Source organism: Homo sapiens, chromosome 15, assembly GCF_000001405.40.
Source record: "Homo sapiens chromosome 15, GRCh38.p14 Primary Assembly".
Lineage (NCBI taxonomy): Eukaryota > Metazoa > Chordata > Mammalia > Primates > Hominidae > Homo > Homo sapiens.
Genome location: NC_000015.10, coordinates 24,815,581 through 24,843,174, shown reverse-complemented (window position 1 = coordinate 24,843,174; position 27,594 = coordinate 24,815,581). Strand labels below are relative to the sequence as shown.

Here is a 27,594-nt window from a genome sequence, read left to right as displayed (position 1 = left end):
TTGAGCCCAGGAGGTGGAGGTTGCAGTGAGCCGAGGTTGCAGGATTGCACTCCAACCTGGGCAACAGGAGCGAAACTCTGTCTTAAAAAAAAACATAAACAATTGAGTAAATTGTGGTACATTCATTGAATATAGCACAGGTCAGTTTCAAAAAGAAACAAACCATTGATACAGTAAACATGACATATCTCGAAAGTGTTACTGAAAGATTACATACAGAATGATTTCATTTATATGACATTCTGTAAAAGGCAAAGTTATGGAGATAGATATCAATAATTTCCAAAACTAAATATGGTGGGAAGACTACTACAAGGAACTTTTGGGGTGAAAATGCAAAACAGTCCTCCAGGTGGCCTTGGATGGATTCAATTATTCCCATTTTCTCAGTTTTAATTTGTCAAGAATAAGTGTAGCATCAGCCTGGAATGCAATATTCTGAGCTAGGGAGGGACTGTCTGGAACAACCCTGGCCTTGTTCTGGCCCTTCCTAAGGAATGTCACATCTTTAGTTAGGGAGGGACTGTCCAGGAGAGCTGGGGTTTGTTCCTCTCTGCCCTGAAAGCAGTATTTCCTTAAAGCTTTGCTCAATGCGCCATGTCTGCCCTGAGATATGTAACCCAGGGTGGGCTGCCTTTTGGGCTTCCTCAGCTGTGTGAAAGGGGGGCATTTGCAATCCAGACTTCATCTGCCCTGGGAACCCTTCTTGAGCCTTTGGGGATGAGCTCAGAATGGAGCCTAGGCTTCTTTTGAAGGAAGACTTTCTCCCTATCTGTAAATAATAAATGTGCATCCTTTAACTTACTGCCTGAGAATGTGTTCTGTCTCACTGCTCTCAGGCAGTTGTAGCACTGCAGCGGAGGATGCAGTGGGTAGAAGTGTCTGGACTCCTATTCCTGATGGCTGGTATAGTGATGACCTTTGCTGTCCTCTGTGTGGTGGAGTCCTCCCTTGGGATTGGTAATTGGTGAACCTGCTTTGAAAAATTGGTGCAGTGGGTAAGGTTCGGTCAGAGAAACATGGCTTTCTGGCAAAGTGGGAGGGGCAATACCACCCAGTACTCAGCCCAAGGCAGAGACATCAGCCCAGGAGCACAGGGGCTGGACATGTACCTGGATGAGTTATGGATAAGGATGGGTGGTAAATGGGACATGTCACTCTCCTCCCCACAGATGTAAGTGAGCTGGCTGCATGGACTGAGACAGAGAGAAAGGAATGTGGAAACAGCAGATCATAGTTCAAGGTCCCCTAGGTGCTGGGCACTTATGTGATCCCTTATTGTCAGGGCCCAAGAGCTTGAATGGTGAGTATTCAGACAGCCCCTGAGGCACCCAAGAAGAAACTAGAGAGAGGTCCTTGTATGGTCCCTGAGGCATGAGAGGAACTAACACGTACAATGTCAGCCCAGAAGATGGGAAGAGTCAGGCTCGAAAGGATAAGGAGGAAGACCAGGGAAATCTTACGCAGTGTGGCTATTGTGAGTGTTTGATAAAGGAACACTGCCACCTAAGTGTCTTGGTCTGATTGACACAGTTAAGAATGGGGCCAAGGCCTCTAGGTCCCTACTGAAGCCCTCTGGCCTTATACCCTTGTTATGATAAGAGGAGAAAAGAGAAGACTTCAGTTTTTTCTCAGGTGCTTGGATACCGGAACCCACATGACAATGTTTCTGGGTCCTTTTAGGAGAATAATTAAACGGATGACATTGGGAGGTTTGGGAACAAACTGGTGGCCCGTGATGCTTATCTGCACACAATGCTTATGTACTTGTGGGTAGAGCCCTGTGAGCAACTTTTTATGCAGGTGGCTCTGGTTCCCACCCTGAGTGCATTATAGGCATTGATGTCCTGGAAGATTATGCCCCCTCACAGCTAAGAACTAAGACACAATAGTGGGCCGTATCCACTCCTGCCTGTTACCTAAGCTACCCAAGCCGCACTGAATCATTAAAAAAAGTGGTACTGCATACTAAATGGAACAATGACACTATTTTATTAATTCTGGATTTACTTGTTACAGATAAAAATGTGACAACCGGCTGGCCGTGGGGGCTCATGCCTGTAATCCCAGCACTTTGGGAGGCTGAAGTGGGTGAATCACGAGGTCAGGAGTTTAAGCCCAGCCTGGCCAACATGGTGAAACCCCGTCTCTACTAAAATATAAAAATTAGCAGGGCATGGTGGTGGGCGCCTATAATCCCAGCTACTCAGGAGGCTGAGGCAGGAGAAGTGCTTAAACCTGGGAGGCGGAGGTTAGAGAGAGCCAAGATCGCACCAGGTCAGCCTGGGTGACAGAGCAAGACTCCGTCTCGAAAAAAAGAAAAAAGTGACAACCCACCTGTCACAATGTAACAGCCCAGTTTAGCTGGTCAAAAAGGCCATGGGCACAATGAATGCCAAAGCTACCTGAGCAAGAAGCCAAAACAGTATCCCAGATACAGGCAAGCCCCTGGCTGCACTCACGGATACAAAGGAGGCCTGGCAGCTGGTTAGGTCGCTTTGGGTACTGGAGACAACATGCATCTCACATGGGGGTTCTTCTGGCACCCAGAGTCAAGGTAACCAATAAAGCCACACACTTTGAATGGAACCCTTTGCAGCAGCAGGTTTACAACAATTTGTGTCTCAGGCACTTCCTTTTAAACCTTAAATGTGCTAGCCAGATGAAATCACAGTTGTGTGCAACCTGATGCACAGTGATGGATGTCTCTGGCAACAGAAAACTGACACTGGGGTGTACCAGCCTCTCAGATCTTGGACACATAAGTTGCCTCAGGCAGCCACCAAATATCCCTCTTTATTTTATTTTATTTTTTTGAGATGGAGTTTCACTTTTGTTGCCCAGGTTAGAGTGCAATGGTGCAATCTCGGCTCATTGAAACCTCTGCCTCCCGGGTTCAAGCAATTCTCCTGTCTCAGCCTCCTGAATAGCTGGGATTACAGGCGCATGCCACCATGTCCGGCTAATTTTTCTATTTTTAGTAGAGATGGGGTTTCATCACATTGGTCAGGCTGGTCTCGAACTCCTGACCTCAGGTGATCCACCCGCCTTGGCCTCCCAAACTGCTGGGATTACAGGCATGAGCCACCACGCCCGGCCTATATCCCTCTTTTAAATGGCAATCCTTACTTGATATTGGGTACTGTTTTGGACTGGGCACCTCGTGGCCAGAATGCCAGATGAAACTCTGCAACCTGAACTGCCATTTCTCTCTGGATGGCTCACAAGCTCAACCAATAAAATTAGACAGGCTCCATAGACTTCACTTATCAAATGGAAGTGGTGCATTCAAGTTCAGGCCCAGCTAGGACCACATGTGACCAGCAGGCTCCGTGAACAAATGGCTAGCTAATTAGAAGACACCAAGAGAACCACTGGGTGTGCTTTGGCTCCTCCCATGGCTGTCTGGAGCCTAAGGCTCCAAGACAAGCCTGCTGATGGTGTGGCATGGTTTACTGATGGCTCAGTGAAACAACAGAGCAGATGGGGTCTGTTAGGCTGTGGTTGTCATCATCATTTGTCAGAATAAACCTTGGCAATTTGCCCAGTGGACCAAACAACACGCATTTGTGATGACCATGCAGGCCACCCCTACCACCAGGTCTTCCTGCATTTCACCAATGTGTGGGCCGTTGCTGACAGCCTACATACCTCATCAGGGAATGGCAATTGAGTGACTAGAATATTTAAAGAGCCTCTTTGTGGGGACAAAGACTATCAAAACAGCTTGCTACTTGGAAAGGACAAAAAATATGCACGCTTGTGGATGCTGATACTACCATTGCTGTTATTGAGGAGAACTTATGTCATGATTTTGAACACCCCAGAGGACCTCAGTCTCACCAAGAAGCATCCTTCACTACATGACCAGCAAAACAATGGCCATGCTCTCATGGAATATGATGGGCTTTGTATGCACCCTGTCATCTGCAAGCCAATGGAGCTACTGAACAATGGAACAGCCAAAGCAACTGAAGATAGGACATCAAGAAGGCCTGCTCAGGAGGCGGTACTTCTATCTAGTAGTATGAACACTAAACACTACACTCCAATGCATGGGAAATGGGGCACTGCAGCACATGTTGGGAAACACTGAGCTTGATGTGGATGGAGGTGGACCAGGTAGCTGGCTAATTAGGCTGTTCCTGTGAAATTCCAACCTCAGTGTTCCCTACCATTCTTTTTCCTTTTCTCTTCAAAGTGCATGTTCTTGGGGGTGGTTTGTGGTTCAGGCCACCATAAAACCCCAGAAAGGGCCCCCTAACTCTAATTTTATGGCAGTGTTCCCCAAGGTGACCCCCACTTTCTATGGGATCTCACAGTGTTGGGGGACAGGATCAGGGAGGACCAGGGTGCTAGGAACCCTCTAGTAGTGCGGGAAACATCTGATACTTCCAGTGGGGTGGCTTATGTTATCAGGCACATCAAGTTTATATAGGACATGTCCTCCCTTGCTGGACTGGATGACTGAAATCAACTTGTTTAGATCTATAACAAGTGCTTTGGGTGCCAGCAGAAGTAGTAACCTCAGCACAGGGACAGACAAACTGGCTACACCAGCTCAATCCAATCCTTATCTGATAGATAGGGAAGATCTGAGACCCAGGGAGGGGCAGGTGGGAACGAATCTCGTAATCCATTCTTTCTACAGGGTCATGGCAGCAGAGGCCAGGAAGCCTAAAGCCTTTGTTAGGATTTCCCAAGCTGTGGCCACTATGGGAAACATTGATTACGGTGGTAATTTCATGACAGTATGTATTTGTTGAAACTCTATAAACTGTGTACTGGAAAAGGATGGATATCACCTCCAGAAACCCAATTTTAAAAATTAAAGAGTTGGCGCCGGGCATGGTGGCTCACGCCTGTAATCCCAGCACTTTGGGAGGCCGAGGCGGGTGGATCACGAGGTCAGGAGATTGAGACCATCCTGGCTAACGCGGTGAAACCCCGTCTCTACTAAAAATACAAAAATTTTACCTGGGCGTGGTGGCAGGTGCCTGTAGTCCCAGCTACTTGGGAGGCTGAGGCTGGAGAATCACTTGAACCAGGGAGGTGGAGCTTGCAGCGAGCCGAGATTGGACCACTGTACTCCAGCCTAGGCGACAGAGCGAGACTCCGTCTCAAAAAAAAAAAAATAAATAAATAAAGAGTTGGCCGGGCACAGTGGCTCATGCCTGTAATCTCAGCACTTTGGGAGGCCGAGGCAGGCGGATCTTCTGAGGTCAGGAGTTCAAGACCAGCCTGGCAAACATGGTGAAACCCTGTCTCTACTAAAAATACAAAAATTAGCTGGGCATTGTGGTGCATGCTATAATCCCAGCTACTTGGAAGGCTGAGGCTGGAAAATCCCTTGAACCAGGAGGCGGAGGTTGCAGTGAGCCAAGATTGTACCACTGCATTCTGGCCTGGGCGACAGAGTGAGACTCCAACTCAAAAAAAAAAAATTTAAAGAGTTATTGCATCAAAATCCTTTTAATCTTTCTTTCTTTAAATCAGTAGCCCCCCAAGCCGGGCATGGTGGCTCACGCCTGTAATCCCAGCACTTTGGGTGGCCGAGGCGGGTGGATCACGAAGTCAGGAGATCGAGACCATCCTAGCTAACACGGTGAAACCCCGTCTCTACCAAAAATACAAAAAAATTAGCCAGGCATGGTGGTGGGCGCCTGTAGTCCCAGCTACTCGGGAGGCTGAGGCAGGAGAATGGCGTGAACCCAGGAGGCGGAGCTTGCAGTGAGCCAAGATCGCAGCCACTGCACTCCAGCCTGGGCTACACAGTGAGACTCCACCTCAAAAAAAAAAAAAAATCTGTAGCCCCCTCAAGTCGCAATATATGATTAGTGTTTTTCCACGGGATTTTTCCATTTACTCGCTCTGCATAAATATAAAATGGTTAAGAGTCCCACCTATAGGTAGGTTCAGACTTAACGCTTGCCCAAACTCCCATTCACAGCTGTACAAGGAGTTCATTCTTTTCGCCAGAGTTACCTTTGGACATCTTTACCTCTCGGTAGTCCTTTGCTTCCTTCTGTAGCTTGAAATCTCTATTCATGCTTGTTGTGGCTAAGATTTATACATTGAAGCTACTGGAGTACAGGAAATACTACCCCAATGTATGGCACCCTGGCACACTAAGGATTTTAAGCTGGAGGAGACAGAAAACTCCAGAGGGAGAAAGGTTTGAAATGACCTGCTCCCACCTCTTCTCTCCTGAAGACCCTCATGTGACAGGTATTCTGCCCTATGCCCGAAGGGAAGGAATATCAAACTTGGAGGCCAAGAAGAACCTGAACAGTCAGGCCTTGGTAAGTTCCTCCCAGTTTATTACCATTAGATCATACCCTTTTGTCCTCCAATCATACTTCTAAATGACTGTCCATAAAAATGCACAGTTCTCCCTAGATGTTTGAGTTTTCATTTCCGTAGTCTCCTGTGTCACATAAAACTTACATTAAATGCATTTGTGGCTGGGCGTGGTGGATCACGCCTATAATCCCAGCACTCTGGGAGGCCGAGCAGGGCGGATCACCTGAGATCAGGAGTTTGAGACCAGCCTGGCCAACATGGTGAAACCCCATCTTTACTAAAAAATACACAAATTAGCTGGGTGTGGTGGTGGGCGCCTATAGTCCCAGCTACTCGGGAGACTGAGGCAGGAGAATCGCTTGAAAACGGGACGCAGAGTTTGTGGTTAGCAGAGATCACACCACTGCACTCCAGCCTGGGCAACAGAAGTGAGGCTCCGTCTCAAAAAAAAAATGCATTTGCATACTTTTCTTTTGTTAATCTGGATTTTGTTATGAGGACTCAGCCACGAACCTTGCAGCAGGTGAAGGAAAGGTATTATTTTTCTCCCCTGCAGAGCCCTCACCCCCAGTGTCTCAGAATGTGACTGTTTGGACATAGGGCCTTCTATTAGATGATTAAGGTAAATGAGGTCATTAAGGTGGGCCAAATCCTATCTGCCTGGTGTCCCTATAAGAATAGAATGCTTGGATGAGAGAACCAGGGATGTGCAAGCACAGGGGAAGGAAGAGGTGAGAGCACAGAGAGAAGGTGGCCATCTGCCAGCCACGTAGAGAGGTCACAAAGAATACAACCTTGCCGGCCTCTAGAACGTTATAGCCTCCAGAACGTTAACTTCTGTTGCGTAAGCCACCCAGTCTCTGGTACTTTGTTATGGTAGCCGTAGCATATTAAGACAATGCTCAAGGAATCAACTCACTCATCTCACTTCAGAAACTGATCCCTTTGGGAGGCCGAAGAGGGAAGATGGCTTGAGCCTAGGAGTTCGAGACCAGCCTGGGCAACAAAGCGAGACCCTGTCTCTCTTAAAAAAATAAAGAAAAAAGAAATTGACTTCCTGACCACTCAGGTTGTTTTTAAATATACTTTCTCTCTGGATTAGTAACATACTCCGCGCATAGGTTCTGGACCTTTCTTCCCCATGGTACGTTTAAAAAGTTGTACATTTTGGTCAGTGGTTCTGTTCTCATTTCATAGTCTTCATTTTAAATGACCCAATAATTACCAAACAAACAGAAAGAATGTATGCATTCATTATGGGGATGAGAGGGAGAAACAGAATAGACAACTCTGATGGGGAATGATCTGAATTTTAGTATTCCTAAACACATCAGGATGCTCCTCCTATGGAAGCAGGTTCCAGTGAATGGCAATACTGCCACAGGCAGGCCAGAAACAGCAGTAACGTGGGAAATAGTAGACTCATAAGTAAGTAAAACATCTAAAATGATAAGCTGTGATTTGCTTCTACAAAATTAAGGTAATTTTAAATTCTTAGGCATTTGATTAAAGTTTGAACAAAATTGGACAAAATGTGACAATGCACATTTACTACAGCTAGCAAATGATATTTGCTACATACTAAAGTAATGTAGTCACATATAAGAAGAAAAACAGCATGCCTATATATGTTACTTGTATTTTTTTAGAAAACTAAAACAAAATTTTATTTGATGCTTTGAATACAAATAACTTATTTTCATATATATACTATATATTTTATATATAGTATATATATCTATATATTTTATATATAGATATATAGTATATATATCTATATATTTTATATATAGATATATATACTATATATCTATATTTTTATATATAGATATATATACTATATATATCTATTTTATATATAGATATATATACTATATATATCTATTTTATATATAGATATATATACTATATATACTATATATATTATATGCATTTCTTTTTTTTTTTTCAGATGGAGTCTCGCTCTGTTGCCCAGGCTGGAGTGCAGTGGCACTCTCAGCTCACTTTAACCTCCACCTACCAGATTCAAGCGATTCTCCTGCCTCAGCCTCCTGAGTAGCTGGGATTACAGGTGACTGCCACCACGCCTGGCTATATATATATATATATATATATATATAGAGAGAGAGAGAGAGAGAGAGAGGGAGAGAGAGAGACAAGGTCTCACTCAGTAGCTAGATTGGAGTGCAGTGACCTGATCATGATCACAGCTCACTGTAACAAGTGATGCTCCCATCTCAGGCTGCAGAGTAGCTAGGACAACAGACGGTCACTACCATGCCCAGCTAGATTTTTACACTTTTTATAGAGACGGGCTCTTGCTATGTTGCTCAGGCTGGCAAATGACTTATTTTCACACTGTGCATCTGGTAATCCAGATGAAGTTGAAAACTGAGTCAATAAGGATTGATTTGCTGTCTGAGCTGTAAGCTCCATTCTTCATACACAAATCAGTTTATTTTGTTGGGGCTCAGATATACCAAAGACTGGTGCTTTGTCATGCTGAGCCGTCTTAGAATTTGCCTCAGAATGAAGGTCTCTCTAATCTTGTCTCCCACTCCCAAGTCCAGGAAGAGCCTCTCTGAAATTTCCTTATCTGACCAAGCAAGCTTCTTTACAAAAGAAATATAATGGGATGGGCATTTACAGGCTGGGCACAGTGGCTCACGCCTGTAATCCCAGCACTTTGGGAGGCCAAGGCAGGTGGATCACGAGGTCAGGAGTTTGAGACAAGCCTGACCAACATGGTGAAACCCCGTCTCTACTAAAAATACAAAAATTAGCTGGGTGTGGTGGCAGGCGCCTGTAATCCCAGCTGCTCAGGAGGCTGAGGCAAGAGAATCACTTGAATCTGGTAGGTGGAGGTTGCAGTGAGCCAATATCATGCCACTGCACTCCAGCCTGGGCAACAGAGTGAGACTCCATCTGAAAATAAAATAAAATAAAGAAATGCAATGGTCTTGAACATCCTCCCCAGGGATCTCATCAAGTAACCAGGAAAGATCAAGAGGCTGGGAGTCCTCACCAGCCCAGACACACCTACCGTCTGTTCTTTTGAGGTCAGCTCCAAGAGATTATCTGGAGGACTTAATTTGCATTAAACAACAACCTCTCTTCCTGCGTAGCTCTGCACCTCACCTTCTCCTAATGTCTGCTTCCTGCCTCCTGGGTCTGTTCATTCTCCTTGATGGTCTATTGCCTCTTAAAATAATAGTCTATGTTACACATCGCCTTCTTCCTCTATGAAAACAGATATATAAACGTGTGTACCTCACTGGGTCATCATTCTTTTGTGGTTCCCTCCCTATGCAATTTAAAATAAAATTTTACATACCTTTTCTTCTATTAATCTTCCTTTTGCCAGTTGATTTTTCAGTGAACCTTCAGAGGACAAAGGGGAACTTTTTTCTTTGCCCTTATAGTTTAATCCGTGCATTAGTTTAACACCTACGTATTCTCACCAGTGAGGTCAGAGGAATTATCCTAGGCTCTGAAAACACAGAATTGAAAAATTTTCTGTCTCCAAAGGGCTTACATTTTACTACTAGCATTCCAGGTGCTATAAGTAAAAATCAGGTAAACATTCTGTTCCATTCTAATCAAGTATCTACTGTTAGCAGGAGACATGGACATAAGCTTCCAAAAAGCTGCTCTGTGACCATCTAACACCACAGCAACCCAGGAACCAAGCTCCAGGCATCATTCATCATTCTCATCATTTCTACTCTGTTTCCATCATCTTTTTTTTTTTTTTTTTTTTTTTTTTTGAGACAGAGTCTCGCTCTGTCGCCCAGGCTGGAATGCAGTGGTGCAATCTTGGCTCACTGCAAGCTCCGCCTCCCGGGTTCATGCCATTCTCCTGCCTCAGCCTCCCGAGTAGCTGGGACTGCAGGCGCCTGCCACCACGCCTGGCTAATTTTTGTATTTTTAGTAGAGACGGGGTTTCACCGTGTTAGCCAGGATGGCCTCGATCTCCTGACCTCGTGGTCCGCCCGCCTCGGCCTCCCAAAGTGCTGGGATTACAGGCCCTGAGCCACCGCGCCCGGCCTCCATCATCTTTTGAGTTCTACGTTCATCATCTGTACAGCTGCAGCAAGTCTGTGTATATTTTTCATCTAACTGCCAGCTTGCTCCACCAAGTTGAACTGACCTTGGACTCTTAGTCCAAGATGCCATGGACCCAAAGAGTGACCGGTAGCAAGGCTTATTGTGAAGAGCGAAGAGACAAACCTTCCATTGCGTGGAAAGGGACCCCAGCGGATTGTGGCTGCTGGCTGGGGTTACCAGCTTTAATTCCTTTATTGTCCCCACCCATGTTCCATTTCTGTCCTATCAGAGTGCCCTTTTTTCAATCCTCCCCTCAATTGGCTACTTTTAGAATCCTGCTGACTGGTGCATTTTACAGAGCGCTGATTAGTGCATTTTAAAATCCTCTGTAAGACAGGAGATTTCCCCAAGTCCCCACTCGACCCAGGAAGTCCAGCTGGCCTCACCTCTCACAACCATGTCAGTAATCCCTTTGAGTAGCAATGGTTGAAATGCACCAATTAAAGACACATTGTCAGAGTAGATCTAAAAACAAGTCCCCGTTATATCTTGTATATTGGAAATCTGTATAAATATGAAGACATACATAGACAATTGCAAATTTAAATCAATGAGATATCATCTCACACTTGTTAGAATGGCTATTTTAAAAGACAAAAGTTAGTGTTGATAAAGATAGGGAGAAAAGGGAACATGTGTACTGTCGGTGGGAATGTAAATTAGTACAATATAGTAATTATGGGAAAAATTGTGAAGGATCCTAAAAAAAAAAACAATAGAATTACCCTTTGATCGAGCAGTCTTATTACTGGGTATATATCCAAAGGTAATAAAATCTGCCTTGGGAGATTTCATTGACTATCCGGTGTGTTGGATAGATATCTGCACTCCCACATTCATTCCAGAATTAGTCACAATAGCCAAATATGGGATCAACCTAAGTGCCCATCAACAGATTAATGGATAAAAAGAATGCAGTGTATATGCAAAACAGGATATTATCGGCCTTAAAAAGGGAGAATTACTGTCATTGGAGGCAGAATGAATGTATCTGCATGACAATATGTTAAATGAAATATGCCGGGAAGAGAAAGACAAATACCACATGAACCCATGTGTAAGCGGAATCTAAAAAAGCTCATTTATATAAATACAAAGTAGAATGGTGAGTACTAGGGCCTAAGGGTGGTAGGGGATGAGGATGGGTAGATGATTGTGAATGGGTACAAAATTTCAGTTAGATAGGAAGAAAAAGATCAAGAGATTGTACAACATGGTAACTATAGTTAACAATAAATTGCATTATGAAAAATGAAGAAAGAGTGGATGTAAAGTGTTCTTGCCACGAAAAATAACTGTGTGAGGTAACACATATGTTCTTAGCAAGAATTTTTCACTTCACAATATATATTATTCTTCAAACATCATGTTTGAAGATGATGTGAAGATTTTACATAGTCAATACCTCAAATTTTGTCAATTAATAAGAGTAAATGTAAAAAAAGTAAAAGTACATATAAAAGTAAATGAATGAAACAAAATGTACCTTGCTAACAGTAACCAGAAGAAAGCAGGCATAGCTTTATTAGCTTCAGAAAGAATGTAATGTAAATACAGGAAAATTATCAGGGATAAAGACCTTATGTGATAATAAAGGGATCGATTTTCCAAGAAAATATAATGATCCTTAATATATATGCATGTAACAACAGAGCAACAGGGCATCAGTCTACGTGAGGCAGAAACTGTTAAAACCACAATAAGAAATAGATGAATCCGCTATTATCGTTGGAGACTTTCAACACTCCTCTATCAGAAATAGACAGATCCACCAAGCAGAAAAAATCAGTAAGGACATAGTTGAACTCAACAGTATCATCAGTCAATTGGATATAATTGACATCTACAGACTTTATCCAACAACGGGCAGAATACACATTGAACTCAAGCCCACAGGACCACTCATCGAGATGCACCACATTCTCCTCCATAAAACACACCTGAAACCATTTAAAAGAATCAGACTAATACAATGTATGCACTCAAAACACAACAGAATTAAGCTAGAAATCAATTTTTAAAAACTGGTGAATTGCAAAATACGTGGAGATTATATAATTCATTTCCAAATAATACATGGGTCAAAGAAATCTCAAGAGAAATTTTTTAAAATAATTTGAACTAAATTGAAAGGAAAACACACCTCATCAAAATTTGTCAGCTACAACAGGGAAGCTTAGAGGAAAATTACAGCATTGAGTGTGTATATATTAGAAAAGTTGAAACCCAAAATTCAAACATCTAAATTTTTACTGTAAAAGGAAGCAGAGCAATTGAATCCAAAGTAAGTGGGAGAAAATATATAACATTGGAAACACGGCAAAAACAAAGTAAAAGGTAAAGCACCTGGAATTTTCAAGTGAGTATCGATAGTTTCATATTTTCCAGGACATACAAGTCCAAAGTTAAGTAGGATAGCATAACAGTCCCAACAGGACTGTTGCTTAAGATCATGGAGAGGTGACCCCCACTGAATTCAGGCGACACAAATCTTCAGAAATGATCAACCAAAGGCCTGTAAAGCAAGGTAATTTCATTTGGCTACCAAGTCAGGAAATGCATTAACCATGAATAATCCACCAAAAATAAACGTTAAGTATTGCTAGGTATACAAGGCATGGTTACGTGTGGTAGAAAGAATAAAGTCAAAATACATGCTATGCTCTGAAAAACATGAGAAAATTGTGGGGTTTGTATGCGAACATCAACATGTAAGCGGTCATGCACGTACACTGACAAACGTGTATATCCTCAGAGAATAATTTCATCAACACCCACTGCTACCACCTCTGAAGTCCCCTGCCTGCCTTGCCCGTGTAGCTTCCCTGGGGTCCCTTCTCTGTGCAGCTGCAAACCCACCTCATTTGCAGTTTGCTGTTAGGATGCTCTCACCCTGTGGTGTATCTTTCATCAGGTGGTGGTGAGCTGGCCACTGTGAATTTTCAGATCCACAGATCCCACTTACATCTGCAAAATGACAGACAGGAAAGAAAGTTCTTTGCCCCTTTTCACTCTCTTTTGTCCTCAGCACCAACCCCTCCTGGCAATGCTAATGGTCCTGCACAGTGGACTGGGGCCACCCTCACCTGTTCTGACTGGTTCCTGAATCAGAAGACCTCATGGATTGGGGATAACATTTCATAAAAGAACTGAGACATTCAAATCCCTCCCCACAGAATGCAGTCCTCAGAGAGCGGCCCCTGCATCACTTTCTGAGCTGCCCGGCACCCTCACCCCCATGCCCAGTCCCTGCATGGTCTGCCCTTCCTTCTCCTGCCTCCTCATGTATTACTCATCCCAGTGGTCCTTCCAACCCACCACCCTCTTCTCATGCCCTGGCCTGTGCCACAGACACACTGTTTCCTCCTCGCTTTCCCTGCCCTGTTTGCTGGACTCACTGCTCCTCACTCTCCACAATCTCCTCCAAAGCTCCTCCTCCTGGAGGCCTCCCTTGCCCACCCAGTCCAGGCCTGAAACTTGCCCTCTGGGCTCCCAAGGGCAGCTCTTCCACTTGCAGTTTAGTTTCTGTTGCGTTTTCTGAATCCCCATTGGCCTTTAACATCTGAGAATTTGGAAACTTTGTCTATATTGCTTCCCTGTGAGCCCCACACATATAGTGAACAAAGAGCAACACAGAATATCTTCCTTTATGTTGAATTTCACAAAGAAATTAATGAATCTCTCAAACTCCTCACCTATATTCTTTTCTGCTTCCCAAGAAACTAAAAACTTTCTTTCAATCTGAAGAGAGTTTGCACTTGAAGATGAACATGTTTCTTTTTTTCCCTTTCTCATCTCAGGACAACATGTGACTCCCCTCAGCCTCTTCTCCAGCCTCCCCATCCTTAGTCCACTGCTTAGCCCCTCCCCTGGGCCACGCTGCTCTATCATCTGCACCTATTCTTTCTATCTGGAAAGAATTTTTTAATTTTGCCCTTTTAAACGAACAATTTTTTTTCTTGATTTCCAAGATTCAGCTACATTAGTATGGCTTCCTTGCTAAATATTTTCAAACACTTATTTAGTTATTTACTTTTTTAGAGATGGAGCCTAGCTATATTTCTCAGGCTGCAGTGCAATGGATATTCATAGTTGTGATCACAGAGCATAGCAGCCTCCAATTCCTGGGCTCAAGCAATCAAATGCTTATTACTTACTATCCTTCTAAATTTTTAGCGTATGTTTATTTTTCTTTCTTTTTTCTTTCTTGTTTTTTTCGAGACGGAGTCTCGCTCTGTCGCCCAGGCTGGAGTGCAGTGGCGCGATCTCAGCTCACAGCAAGCTCCGCCTCCCGGGTTCAAGCCACATATGTTTATTTTTCAAATTTTATCACAATAGCTGTTACCCTGGTGGCATCAATGACATGGCGTTATTGAGGGCACATGCGTGATCTTGTAATAAAATCTTCTGTTGTCACCTTCAGGTAAGATCACCTGCATTCAATACCTACAGAATGGATGTCAACGGGAAGGTGCAAATCGCACTGACAATGATGCAGCCTGTTTTATTAAGAAATGTTTCATTGCCATTACTCTTTATGCCACAGAGGATTACGTGAACACATTCATTTCTCTGGATTAAAATCTTGTTTAGAACTATCATAGTCAAAATTTTAAGACTTTTATAATTTCATTTATGAGTTAATCTCAATATTGTGTTAAATTTTATGTGAGTAAAACTTGTGATTTTATAATTCTAGAAGGGCTTTTTCCATAAATATAAAATATGCTGTTATGTGTATAGGGTCATGTACCACATAAGGGCCGTTTTGGTCAACAACAGACAATATGCACGTTGCTGGTCCCATAAGATTGCAATGGAGTTGAAAATTTATCTTATCTTGTGACATTGTAGCAATCATAATGTCATTAGTATTTCAGGATTTTTTTTTTTTTTTTGAGATGGAGTCTCGCTTTGTCACCCAGTCTGGAGTGCAGTGGTGCAGTCTTGGCTCACTGTAACCTCTGCCTCCTGGGTTCAAGTGATTCTCCTGCCTCAGCCTCCTGAGTAGCTGGGATTACAGGCATGTGCCACAATGCCCGGCTAATTTTTGTATTTTTAGTAGAGACAGGGTTTCACCATCTTGGTCAGGCTGGTCTCGAACTCCTGACCTCGTGATCCTCCTGCCTCAACCTCCCAAAGTGCTGGGATTACAGACGTGAGCTACTGCGCCTGGCCTACTTCAGGTTTTTAAAATAAATTTAGTATAGCGTAAGCATACAGTGTTTCTTTTTTTTTTTTTTTTTTTTGAGACAGAGTCTCGCTCTTTCACCCAGGCCAGAGTGCAGTGGCGCGATCTCAGCTCACTGGAAGCTCTGCCTCCCAGGTTCACCCCATTCTCCCGCCTCAGCCTCCTGAGTATGCTGGGACTACAGGCGCCCGCCACCGCACCCGACTAACTTTTTTGTATTTTTAGTAGAGACGGTGTTTCACCGTGTTAGCCAGGATGGTCTCAATCTCCTGACCTCGTGATCCGCCTGCCTCGGCCTCCCAAAGTGCTGGGATTACAGGCGTGAGCCACCGCGCCCGGCTGCATACAGTGTTTCTTAAATCTACAGTAGTGTACAATAATGCCCTAGACCTTCACCTTCACTCACAACTCACTCACTCACTCACCTGGATGAACTTCCGGTCCTGCAAAATCCACTCATGATATCTGCTTTAAACAGCAGTACCAGTTAAAAAATGTTTTATATCATATTTTTACTATAGTATATGTATATATATGTATGTGTGTGTATGTGTATATATATGGGATATGACACCATCGTGTTATCATTGCTTACAGTTCAGTAAAGGTTTGTAGCCTAGAAGCAACATGCTTTACCATATAGCCTAGCCATGTAGTAGGCTATACCATCTAAGTTTGTGTAAGTACTCTCTACGTTGTTCTCATAATGACAAAATTGCCTAAAAATGCACTTCTTAGACTGTATTTGCCATTAGTCAATGCGTGACTCTAGTTTAATTGGCAGAGATATTACCTTTCTTTTAGATCCACCTTAAATATTTGATTTGTTGACACAGAATGGCTGACACCCACTGAGACTCCTACCTATACCCATGCATAGACTAACTCTGACCTTCCCTCTAGTGTTACACACGCCCATTAAATCATAGGTTTTTCTTTATGAGTTTCATTCACATTGTTCCTTTGTATTGCCAACTAGAAGCAAATAACCAGAGACACAGTAATCGTCAAGTAATTTCAGAAGGTATGAATCCAAATACTGCAGAAAAACTAACAGGGTTTGTACATGCCTTAACCAATGTAAAAACCAAGAATGGGTAAATTACGTGGAATGATGGTTGGCAAGACACAGTACATCAGGCAATGAGCACAGTGATACCTGAGGAATGTGAGGCAGCCATGCAAGCCCACTATTTCCTCATGTTATTGCTTCAAGAGAGTTCCCTGCTGTGGAGCAGCAAGGACTTTTGGAGAGTTTTGTGTTGAGATGAAACTGAGGGTCTGAAAGAACAGGTTTGCCCAATTCCATCAAGACCTCCAAGTACAGTGTTAACAGTGGGAGACAGTAATCATGACAGCTCCCAGTCAGAAATTGACTTATGCCAGCCATTTTCTACAGAGACATGGATCACAGAGCAGTCCAGGAGAAAAAGGGAAGGACACATCGAGAAGACATTTGAATGAAGTTGGCCTTCAACTCTTTCATCTTATTCATGATGCTAAAAGACACAGCCCTTTACATGACACGGCCATCTTGCAACAATCCCAAGGATAAAGGTAGCCCAACAGAGAGGAAGGAAATATGTATAAGTAGGTTGAACCCCTCCCCCTTGACCCAAACCTGAATTTCCTATGATTTGTTGGTATATGCGTCTGATAAACCTGTATTGTGTAATAAAAGCACTCCCTGAGGTATGACTTCAGATTTCCCAACTTTATAATTGTGAGAAAGCAATACACATTCAGTAGAAATTGTACTTCGAGTACCCATACAACCATTCTGCTTTTCATTTTCATTGCAGTATTCAATAAGTTACATGAGATATTTAACACATTATAAAATATGGTTTCTGTTAGATGATTTTGTACAAATGTAGGCAAATATAAGTGTTCTGAGCACTCTTAAGACAGGCTAGACTAAAGTATGATGTTCAGTAAGGTAGGCATGTTAAACACATTTTGACTGGTGATATTTTCAATTTATGATATTTCAATTTATGGTGATATTTTCAATTTATGAAACCATTTTCAATATGGTTTATTGGGAAGTAGCCCCAACTTAAGTTGAGGACCATCTGTAATTTCAATGGAGCTTTCCATTTATCAGAACAGAACGCAACTCTCATCAATGAAGAATAAACCAGTAAATCTTATCTCCTCTATTTGTTTCCCCAGAAAACTTCTAGTTTCTTTCAGATTTGGGAATCATCTTTCCCTTGTCCTTCATTACATAAATACCATTATCTATCTAGTTTGCAATGACTATTAGGTTCTTCTAAATTTGTAGTGAAATTTAAGGTCAATGGCGCGAGGTCATAATACAATAAAAGAATGAAGATGAGGGTTACTTAAAAAAATTAACCAAGGTCTGCTCTTGAGATTTTCTGTATAGGGTATTGAAACCCCGAGTGCCTGACTGCAGCATTGCCTGGCAAACAAAGCTCTATCAATAATGTGAAATAAAAATATCCATAAACTATCAATGCTCTTGGTCCATTGCTTTTTCACATCTCATGTATCTTAAATAAGTGCCCCCCAGAATCGCTTTTAGACCATAAGATTGAGGATTTCATTACTTGTATAACAGCCATTTGCTATTGAATCTCATAGATCCACCCTGCAGGAATGAGTCCTTCATTAGAGAATGTGTTTCTCTCAATTCAATCCTGTTGGCATTTGCACAATTCGTATTGCAGAACCTAAACAATTCCTAGCCTGCTTTTTGGACTCCTAAGTTGTTTCTTCAAGAGGAAGTTAGTGTTTAACCTAGGGTGAGGAATCCTATCTTTACTTGCCATCTAGTCTCATACAAACGATATATGAGGAGTGTCAAAGGTTCAGCCTAAAACAATGGACATTAATGGAGCACGTAAAACCTAAAAAGTAGGTAAACTATTGACTAAGTCAATAAAAATGAACATATAAAAATTAAAAAAGTAGTTTGCTCATTGATATAGAAGAAATAAAGATTGTAATTCCCTTTCTACAAGATGATACTATTAAAATATATGCTGCTTGAAGATGTATGACATTTCCTGAGTGGCATTTTTATTTCAGTGCAAACTAATCACTCATAAAGGAGTAAGAAAATAATACATCTCTGTATTATGGATTTTCTGTAGGAAGGCAAGTCAAGCAGCCATTTACAAAACCAAAGTGAAAATACTCAAATATGCAAGCCAATGTCTATAGCTTTTGGGTAAGGAGAAAAACAAACAATATGACGACACTCATTTGCACGGTAGCAAAGTAGCTGTCTCTGCATTCAGAATGGGACTCTCAGTGTTCTGTCTACACAAATTAATTCCTTGTGCACCTTCCACAATAAGAACAAACTAAGCCACGTAATTTAAACTATCATAGCTTCTTTAAGCCTGCGATTGTAAGTAAATTTTGTCCTGTGGCTCTCAGGAAAGTCTCTGACCCTCTCCTTTTCAACCAGTCGTATTTCATAGCAAATTTCTGGAAAACACTAAAACAGAGAATATGTAACATTTGTCTTTCTTAATAAAGTGCTATTTTCATTTAATTACTAAAGAAAGATGATTGAACAGATGAAAATAATTAAATATGTATTTCGAAAAATGATTATGATAGCATTTTAAAATACAGGAATGAAAGGCATTAATATACAATACAAAATATGAATTGGTTTTAAATGATGTTTATGTGATTAAAAGAAAGACAATCGCATGCAAGTTTTAAAGATATCTGCACCCCCACCTCCAAAAAAGCAATATGAAATGTTACCAGGAAGGTGTCATTGATCAGCGACCACAGTTACTGTAGAGAAAAGCCTTTCTTATGCAAAAAGGCCGCATTCCTCAAATAGCCCCAGAGAGAGGGCAGGGGGCAGCTGACCTTGCCCCCGCAAACCACACAGAAGGCTCTGAGCTCAGCTACAGTGGCTGCGGCCAGCCCTTGGTGGGCGTGGTCTGCAGCAGGAGGACCGCATTCGAGGTCGGCGCAGGAGGACAACTGCGCTTGCGCAGGAGGCACCCAGGGATGACTGACAGCTCTCTGCCACCTCTGGCTGTTGCTGGAGGAGTACAAAGTACCCCAGGTTCCAAAAACCAGGCAACCATAATGAGGAGCCTTGACATCTAATTTATTTCACTGGGACTGGACTAAACAAATAAAGCGGGGAGCAGTGTTCGGGGATTGTCAAGATTCAAGAGAACATTAGAGACATAAGCAACAACAGCAATGTTCTAAAGTTCTAAATCCTTTTATTTCAAGGTACAGCTGGGAATATTGGTGTAGGAGCAAAGTATCCAGGATTTACTAGCCTCTTTCTTCCTTTTAGAACACCACAGTAGATAGGCTAAAGGGCTGTGGATGGAAAATTCTTGTATTAAATGAAGACTCTTAGTAATTAAGACAATGTAATATTTGCACAGATAGAAAGGTGAACCAATGAAATAAAGGAAAGCTCAAAACAGACAAAATAATATAAATGCAAATAATTAATAAGAGCAGTTATTAGTAGAAAGATGGCTTTTACAATCAATGTTCTAGGAAATTAATGTTCATTGGGGGAAGTTAAATGTACCTTTAACTTCACATTACACATAAAATTAATTGCAGGTGCATCATAGACCCAAATATAAATACCTTTTAATACAGTATTTACAACCTATGTTAGGAAAATATCTTCATGACTATAGGCTAGCATAAGATTTATTAAATTAGACCTACAATGTATTCACAATTTAACAGAAAAACATTTTCTAACATAGTTTATGTGAGCAAGGACTATGGAGACAGCCCTTTTTTTGCAGGGCTTTAGCTCAAATTCAGAACTTGTACTTAGGAGTGGTAATAGAACCTACCTTTTGATATTTTGGGAGAAATGAATGAACTAATGATACATAATGCCTGTAGATAAATATCAGGTCTATACTAATCACAACATCAGTATGCTAATATTGACAGTGTTTTCTAAGTAATTTAAATATATTTTTTGTATCAATTGTAAAATACATCATTATTTTACGCCATAGTAAAGGAATAAAATCATTGACAAGATATGGTACAAATACTTCCTACACCTTATAATTTTTACCTCACAATTAATGACAATAACTCTTTTCGACATATATAAATGTGGATATTTGTTTTATATCACTCCAATGAGATGCAAATATAAGCAAATCACGTTAAAAAAGGTATTGCTGCTCGGCGCGGTGGCTCACACTTGTAATCCCAGCACTTTGGGAGGCCGAGGCGGGAGGATCCTGAGGTCAGGAGATCGAGACCATCCTGGCTAACACGGTGAAACCCCATCTCTACTAAAAATACAAAAAATTAGCCAGGTGTGGTGGCAGGTGCCTGTAGTCCCCTCAGCTACTCAGGAGGCTGAGGCAGGAGAATGGCGTGAACCTGGGAGGCGGAGCTTGCAGTGAGCCGAGATTGTGCCACTGCACTCCAGCCTCAGCAACAGAGTGAGACTCCATCTCAAAAAAAAAAAAAAAAAAAATTCTCTACTAAAAATACAAAAATTTGCCCGGTGTGGTAGTGTGTGCCTGTAATCCCAGCTACTTGGGAGACTGAGGCAGAAGAATTGCTTGAACCCGGGAGATGGAAGTTGCAGTGGACCGAGATTGTGCCACTGCACTCCAGCTTGGGTGACAGAGCAAGACTCTGTCTCAAAAAATAGAAAAATAAAGATATTGATAAATTTCTCTCATCCAGATGCACCTCTTCTGAGTCACTATTCATCTTTCTTATGATTTTCTCCTCATTATCATCTTCTCTGTTAACCAGAAGCTTTGGTGATATTTCATTTCTTGTGAGATTCCTACGCAACACTCTGTGAGATTATCTTTCCAACCTGCTGACAGCTCCTCTGCAAGTTTTGTGTTGATGACATTAAAAGAAGGTGTCAATGGAAGGTTTCTAGGACAGGTTCATGTGCATTCATATAAGGACAACCACAAAAAGTCTGCATTTTGACCAATAGTGTTTTGACACTATCAATTTTAAGAAGCATTTTGTCTTAGTTCATTTGTATCGCTAGGAAGGAATACTTGAGTCTGGGTAATTTATAAAGAAAAGAAATTTATTTAGCTCACAGTTCTATGGACTGTAAAAGAAGCATGGCACCAATACTTTCTTCTGACTGGGGTCTCAAGCTGGTTCTACTCATGACAGAAAGAAAAGGGGAGCTTGTGTGTGCAGAGATCACATGGTGAGAGAGGAAGCAAGAGAGGGGGCAAATGTTGGGCTCTTTTCAGCAACCAGCTCTCCTCGAAATTAGCAGAGTAAGTACTCACTCATTGCCATGAGAACAATACCAAGCCATTCTTGAGGGATTTCCCCCAAAACTCAAGCACCTCCTATCAGATCCTACTTCCAACACTGGGGATCAATTTATAACAGGAGGTCTGGGGGGCCAAAGATCTAAACCATAGTACATATGTGTTTGAAAGATGTGAAAATATGTACTCTAGCAATAATGGAACACACTATATTTTTTCTGTGACTGCTCACTTCACAGTGTGATATCATAGTGACTTGTCTGCTGAATTCTGGTCTATTATTATTATTATTTAAGAGATAGGGTCTTGCTGTATTACCTTGGCTGGAATGTAGTGGTGTGATCATATCTCACAGCAGCTTCCAATGCCTGGTCTCAAGGGATCCTTTTGCTTTAGCCTCCTGAGTAGCTGGGACTATAGGCATGTGCCACCATGCCCAGCCACTTTGGAAAAAAATTTTGTTTTTTTGTAGAGTTGGGGTCTTGCTGTGTTGCCTAGGCTGGTCTTGAACTCCTGACAATCCTCCCACCTCAGCTTTCCAAATTCCTCCGATTATAGGCATGAATCACCATGCCTAGCCAAGAAGATTTTTTTCTTTTTCTTTTTCTTTTTTTTTTTCTTTCTTTTTTTTTTTGGAGATGAAATTTTGCTCTTTTTGCCCAGGCTGGAGTGTAATGGCATGATCTTGGCTCAGGCTCACCGCAACCTCCACCTCCCGGGTTCAAGTGATTCTCCTGCCTCAGCCTCCTGAGTAGCTGGGATTACAGGCGCACACCACCATGCCTGGCTAATTTTTGTGTTTTTTAGCAGAGACGGGGTTTCACTATGTTGGTCAGGCTGGTCTGATCTGCCCGCCTAGGCCTCCCAAAGTGCTGGGATTATAGGCGTGAGCCACCGCGTCTGGCTCAAGAAGACTTTTTCAAACATAATTTTATATAAATTAGCCCATTTCATTTACCTTCTACCTAGCTATATGTGAGATTATTAGAGTACTGTTGTAATTTCTACTTTACATGATTTTAATTTTTATAATTTTATAGTTTTATGTTGCCTCAGCATCTATTTTGAATTATGTTTATCTTGGTCATACCAGAAGCAGGACTTAACACGTTTCACACATTTTCCAGTTCTCTAATCCCTCCCACTTTCTTTATGCAGTTGTTGTAGATACAGACTTTATACAGCCACTCCTTATGAGATAGCTAGATGAAGCATCTGACTTTGCCCCCTGACCATCCATATCTCATGTGGGCTGTGTGAATATGCCACAGTGACCACCTCTTTGTCCCAGTGTGACTCTATAGGATTCATGCTTGCTTCCTGTAAACCCAGCAGTTAGAACCCCCTGTGAGAAGGTTGCTTGAATAACACACTGGACCCCAATAAAGGCCTCAGCTATGGGCCCCTCTCTCAGCCGTGTGAGTGTGTGTCCAGAATGGCTCCCCCTTTGGCCATCTGAGGCATTCTGCTCTGCTCTCTCTGGGATCTGTAAGTAATGCACTGAATCTGTTATTTCATGTGTTTTGTTGAGTTGACTCCTCTATGTCTCATTCGACTAATATACCTGAATTTTTTTCAAGTCAGGACTTTCCCAGAGACTGGTTATTTTAGTAGAAGTAAACCAGATGCAGTTCAGAGCCACAAGGTTGTTTTCCAGTATAAACACATTTTCTGTGAGAGGAACCCCTGGTCATGGGTCACACACTTATGCATTTGGCTATCTAACAGAATATATAGAGGCACATTTTAAACACTTATGACCAAATTCTATCAATTCTCATTGGGCTAGGTTAGCATTACATTGTCCGGAGGAATACCTGAAGAGTAAAATAGAAATAAGAAAAATAGAGCATATTAATATATTATCTTTGTATTAAACTACAGAGATAATTTTATAAGCAATGGTTCAGGAAATCCATTAAGGGGGAAGGTAGAAATGGCAAAGAGGTAGTTCAATGTTTGTGCTGGAGTTGTAGTATTCTGTAGAGTTAGAAAAAAATGTAATTGAGAATTTCTGCCCTAATATTAGAAATAAGAGCAATTTTCCCTGTAATCTGCCTTCTAAATCCAGTGCTTCATTCCAGAACAACTGTGTATCTAATTTTCTCCCATTCTACTTTCTAATTCTGTGGACGGTGATCATACAAACCCCTTTTGATAAGTCACTGCAGAGGAAGATGCTTCACGGTTTTCACAAAATGTTTTGCTTGCTTACTTGTTACTGTGGTCAACCCTACTTGTGGGTACCTGAAAAATGGAGTGGGTTTTGGTTATTTATTTATTTATTTTGAGACAGAATTTTGCTCTTGTTGCCCAGGCTGGAGGGCAATGGCACGATCTTGGCTCACTGCAACCTCCGCCTCCCGAGTTCAAGCGATTCTCCTGCCTCAGCCTCCTGAGTAGCTAAGATTACAGGCATGTGCCACCACGCCTGGCTAATTTTGTATTTTTAGTAGAGATGGGGTTTCTCCATGTTGGTCAGGCTGGCCTCGAACTCCCAACCTCAGGTGATCCGCCCGCCTTGGCCTCCCAAAGTACTGGGATTACAGGTGTGGGACACTGTGCTGGGCCTGGGTTTTGGTATTCTTTGATGAATATGTTGAATAAAGAAGAAACACATATAATTTAGAATGTTGTTTGTATTCGAAAATAGACTTTCAGTTTCCAGGAAGGCTCAATAAAATTAACACCAATATCTGATGTAATATATGTTAGTCATGCATTCTTTGAATTCTAATTTCTTCTATTCAGGCTTGAATGTGGAGAAAGGGCATTGGGTTATGGCCTCACCATGTGCTCTGCATTTGGGATGTTTGCAATGGCATCTTTCTGAGAATTCTGGTAGAGTCTAACTTCAGTGAAATCTGGTTATAGGTTGCTTAGTAGGTTTTGGGAAACCATGTCTTCCATTCCATGAGAGAGTTATGTTTGGGAACTCGGTGCTCAGCACAGTGTCCTCTGTGCCTGTGACATCACGTTAGCACAGTCCTATATGTATCACCAGTCTTCTCCTGCTCTGGGCACTTGGAGCTCATTGACCCTCTTGTCATTTGAGATGGGTCCCTTTTGTCCATATGTACTTATGTCTCTTTCATGGCTTGCCATTCTCTTCCCCCAGCTTTTAGGAAGAATTTGGTGATCTATATGTTGTTCCCAGTATAAATCATGATAGACTGTAATGTGTGCATTGAAATGAAGATGAAAAGTGAATTTGACAAGACATTTCTCTGTTAGCAGAACTCCCATTATAATAAAATAAATGGAAGAAAAATCCATGTTTTAAGATGACAAATTCAAATAAGCCTGCTTTTTTTATGGAAGGAAGTATGAACTCAGAGGAGTGCAAAGTTTTCTTTTCTTTTTTCTTTTTCTTTTTTTTGGGGGGGGGACAGAATCTTGCTGTGTCATCAGGCTGGAGTGCGGTGGCACGATCTCGGCTCACTGCAACCTCCGACTCCCTGGTTCAAGCTACTCTCCTGCCTCAGCCTCCTGAGTAGCTGGGATTACAGGCACACGCCACCACGCCCAGCTAATTTTTGTATTTTTAGTAGAGACAGTGTTTCACCGTGTTGGCCAGGATGGTCTCGATCTCCTGACCTCGTGATCCACCCGCCTCGGCCTCACAAAGTGCTGGGATTACAGGCGTGAGCCACCGCACCCAGCCAAAGTTTTCTTAATTTGCAAATGCACAAAATAACAGCCCTTAAGTTAACTGTTCTTTTAATCTCAGAAGTGAGAAATGTGGTCAGGTCAACTGTATCTCTCACTTCAGACCTCCAAGCCTGCAGAAGCCAGTCTCCTCACTGAAGCTATGAATGTTGTGTGGAGGATGATAATGATCTGAAAAAGAAAAAGAATCTGGACTTCGTGGATGTCTATGTGAGTGCAGTATGCATTCTCATGTCACTGTAGGCTTTGTAGACATGGTTCTTGGACAAAACCCTGGTGCTACCCAGCACAGTGCTGTGGTCTGTGAATAGGCAGCTGTGCAGGGGATGAGTGGACAGTTCTATCCACTATGGGGATTCTTTGTTTAGCCAGCACATATGCAGAGTCACCATTCAGCCTGTGTCTATCTCATGTATCACTGCAGGAATGTTGAAGATGTGTTGTATCGGGTTGTTGTATTTTTGTCTTTCTTTTTTTCTGCTAGGCTTTCTTCACCTGTGCACAACACATTCTGAATAAGTTACTAGCCTGCACCTGCCAAAAATCAAAAGGTTAATTTTAACCTTTAAGCAGTTTGGTTGTAAATACGGAGTGGCTTTAACCAATAGGTTTATAAACATTTTTTTTTTTTTTACACAGCTCACCTATGACCATGACAATATCTATTCTGTGGCTTTTAGGCTTGCAATGGGCAACAAAATTCTACAGTGTAATTGTCAACAGAATACGTGGTCAATTCCTGATGGAGTCTGTAGGGTCAGTAGAATGAAAAGAGCTTAATTATCACAGGATGCCCTGAGAAACTTGAAGGTACAGTTGTCATTTGAAAATTAAATAATTCTTGTAATAAGGAAATGCTATCTGTATTAGGCCATTTGCATTGTTTTAAAAAATACCTGAGGCTGGATAATTCATAAAGAAAAGAGGTTTAACTGGTTCCCTATTCTGTAGGGCTGTATAAGCATGGCACCAACATCTGCTTGGCTTCTGGGGAGGTGCAGGAAGCTTGTACTCGTGGGGGAAGGTGAAGCAGGAGCAGGTGTTTTTTATAGCAAGAGCAGAAGGAAGGAAGAGAAGAAGGGTAGGTCCAGGACTTTTAAGCAGCCAGATCTTGGGTGAGCTAACTAACTCAGTGAAAACTCACTTATCACGAAGGGATAGTGCTAAAGAATCATGAGAGATCACCTCCCACCAGGCCCCACCTCCAACATTGGGAATCACGTTTCAACTTGAGATTTGGAGAGGACAAACATCCAAACCATATCACTCTCCAAAGAATCATGAGGGATCACCTCCCACCAGGCCCCACCTCCAACATTGGGAATCACATTTCAACTTGAGATTTGGAGAGGACAAACATCCAAACCATATCACTCTCCTAGATGAAGAAATATGGTTTATGTTCCCTGTCATTGATATTTCTCATTCTTGGTTTTGAGTGTCCACATGTCATATCATCCAAAATGGCTTTAGTGGGATCCTGCAGATAACAGTGCCATAGGATGTTTGAATATGGGCTTTCTGTGATATATGAGACATAGGAACCTATCTTTTAAGAAGTGGTTACTGACACTGAAAGTGGTGACTGAAGAAAAAGAGTATAAAAAGGGAGAAAGGGGAATAAGGCAAAGGAGAAGGGTCCCTGGAGCTTGATGGTGTCTTTCTTAAGTAGGTGCCCAGGAGTTTAGAATCGTGAATAAATAAGGAAGCTGCTTTTTCATACACTCCCATGTGTCCATTCATCACCTGAGCCAAAGGTCACTTGTTTATGTCTGTGTTTGGATTGTTTCTTTTTTCTGTACCAAAATAATACTTTTTAAACAACACTTTAATTACAAAATAATTTAAGAATATACAAGAATCCCAGACTTCTCAATAACAGGACTACAAACAACAACGTAGAAAATAAGCAAGGGGGCCAGGTGCGGTGGCTCATGTCTGTAATCGCAGCACTTTGGAAGGCTGAGGCAGGCGGATCACCTGAGGTCAGGAGTTCAAGACCAGCCTGGCCAACATGGAGAAACCCGCCTCTAATAAAAATACAGCTGGGCATGGTGGCACGTG

General features: G+C 42.1%; 1 protein-coding gene and 1 long non-coding RNA gene across 52 annotated transcripts in view; both read right to left on the bottom strand.

Moving 5' to 3' along the window:
• Nucleotides 1–19,538, bottom strand: part of SNRPN (small nuclear ribonucleoprotein polypeptide N) — a 155,087-nt gene extending 135,549 nt beyond the window's left edge. For 29 of the 51 annotated variants that reach the window (NM_001400738.1, NM_001400685.1, NM_001400739.1 and 26 more), the window contains exon 1: nucleotides 19,352–19,538. The gene's annotated coding sequence lies outside the window, so the exon portion shown is untranslated. Of the gene's footprint in view, nucleotides 1–12,756; nucleotides 12,926–13,269; nucleotides 13,378–19,324 lie in introns of all 51 variants that reach the window. The other 22 variants (NM_001400640.1, NM_001349460.2, NM_001400690.1 and 19 more) reach the window with 6 other exon arrangements.
• SNHG14 (small nucleolar RNA host gene 14) overlaps nucleotides 1–19,567 on the bottom strand; it is a 595,855-nt gene extending 576,288 nt beyond the window's left edge. Inside the window, exons 1-2 of the long non-coding RNA NR_146177.1 lie at nucleotides 19,352–19,567; nucleotides 13,270–13,377 (exon numbers count right to left, since the gene is read on the bottom strand). This is a non-coding gene — a long non-coding RNA (small nucleolar RNA host gene 14). The remainder of the gene's footprint in view (nucleotides 1–13,269; nucleotides 13,378–19,351) is intronic.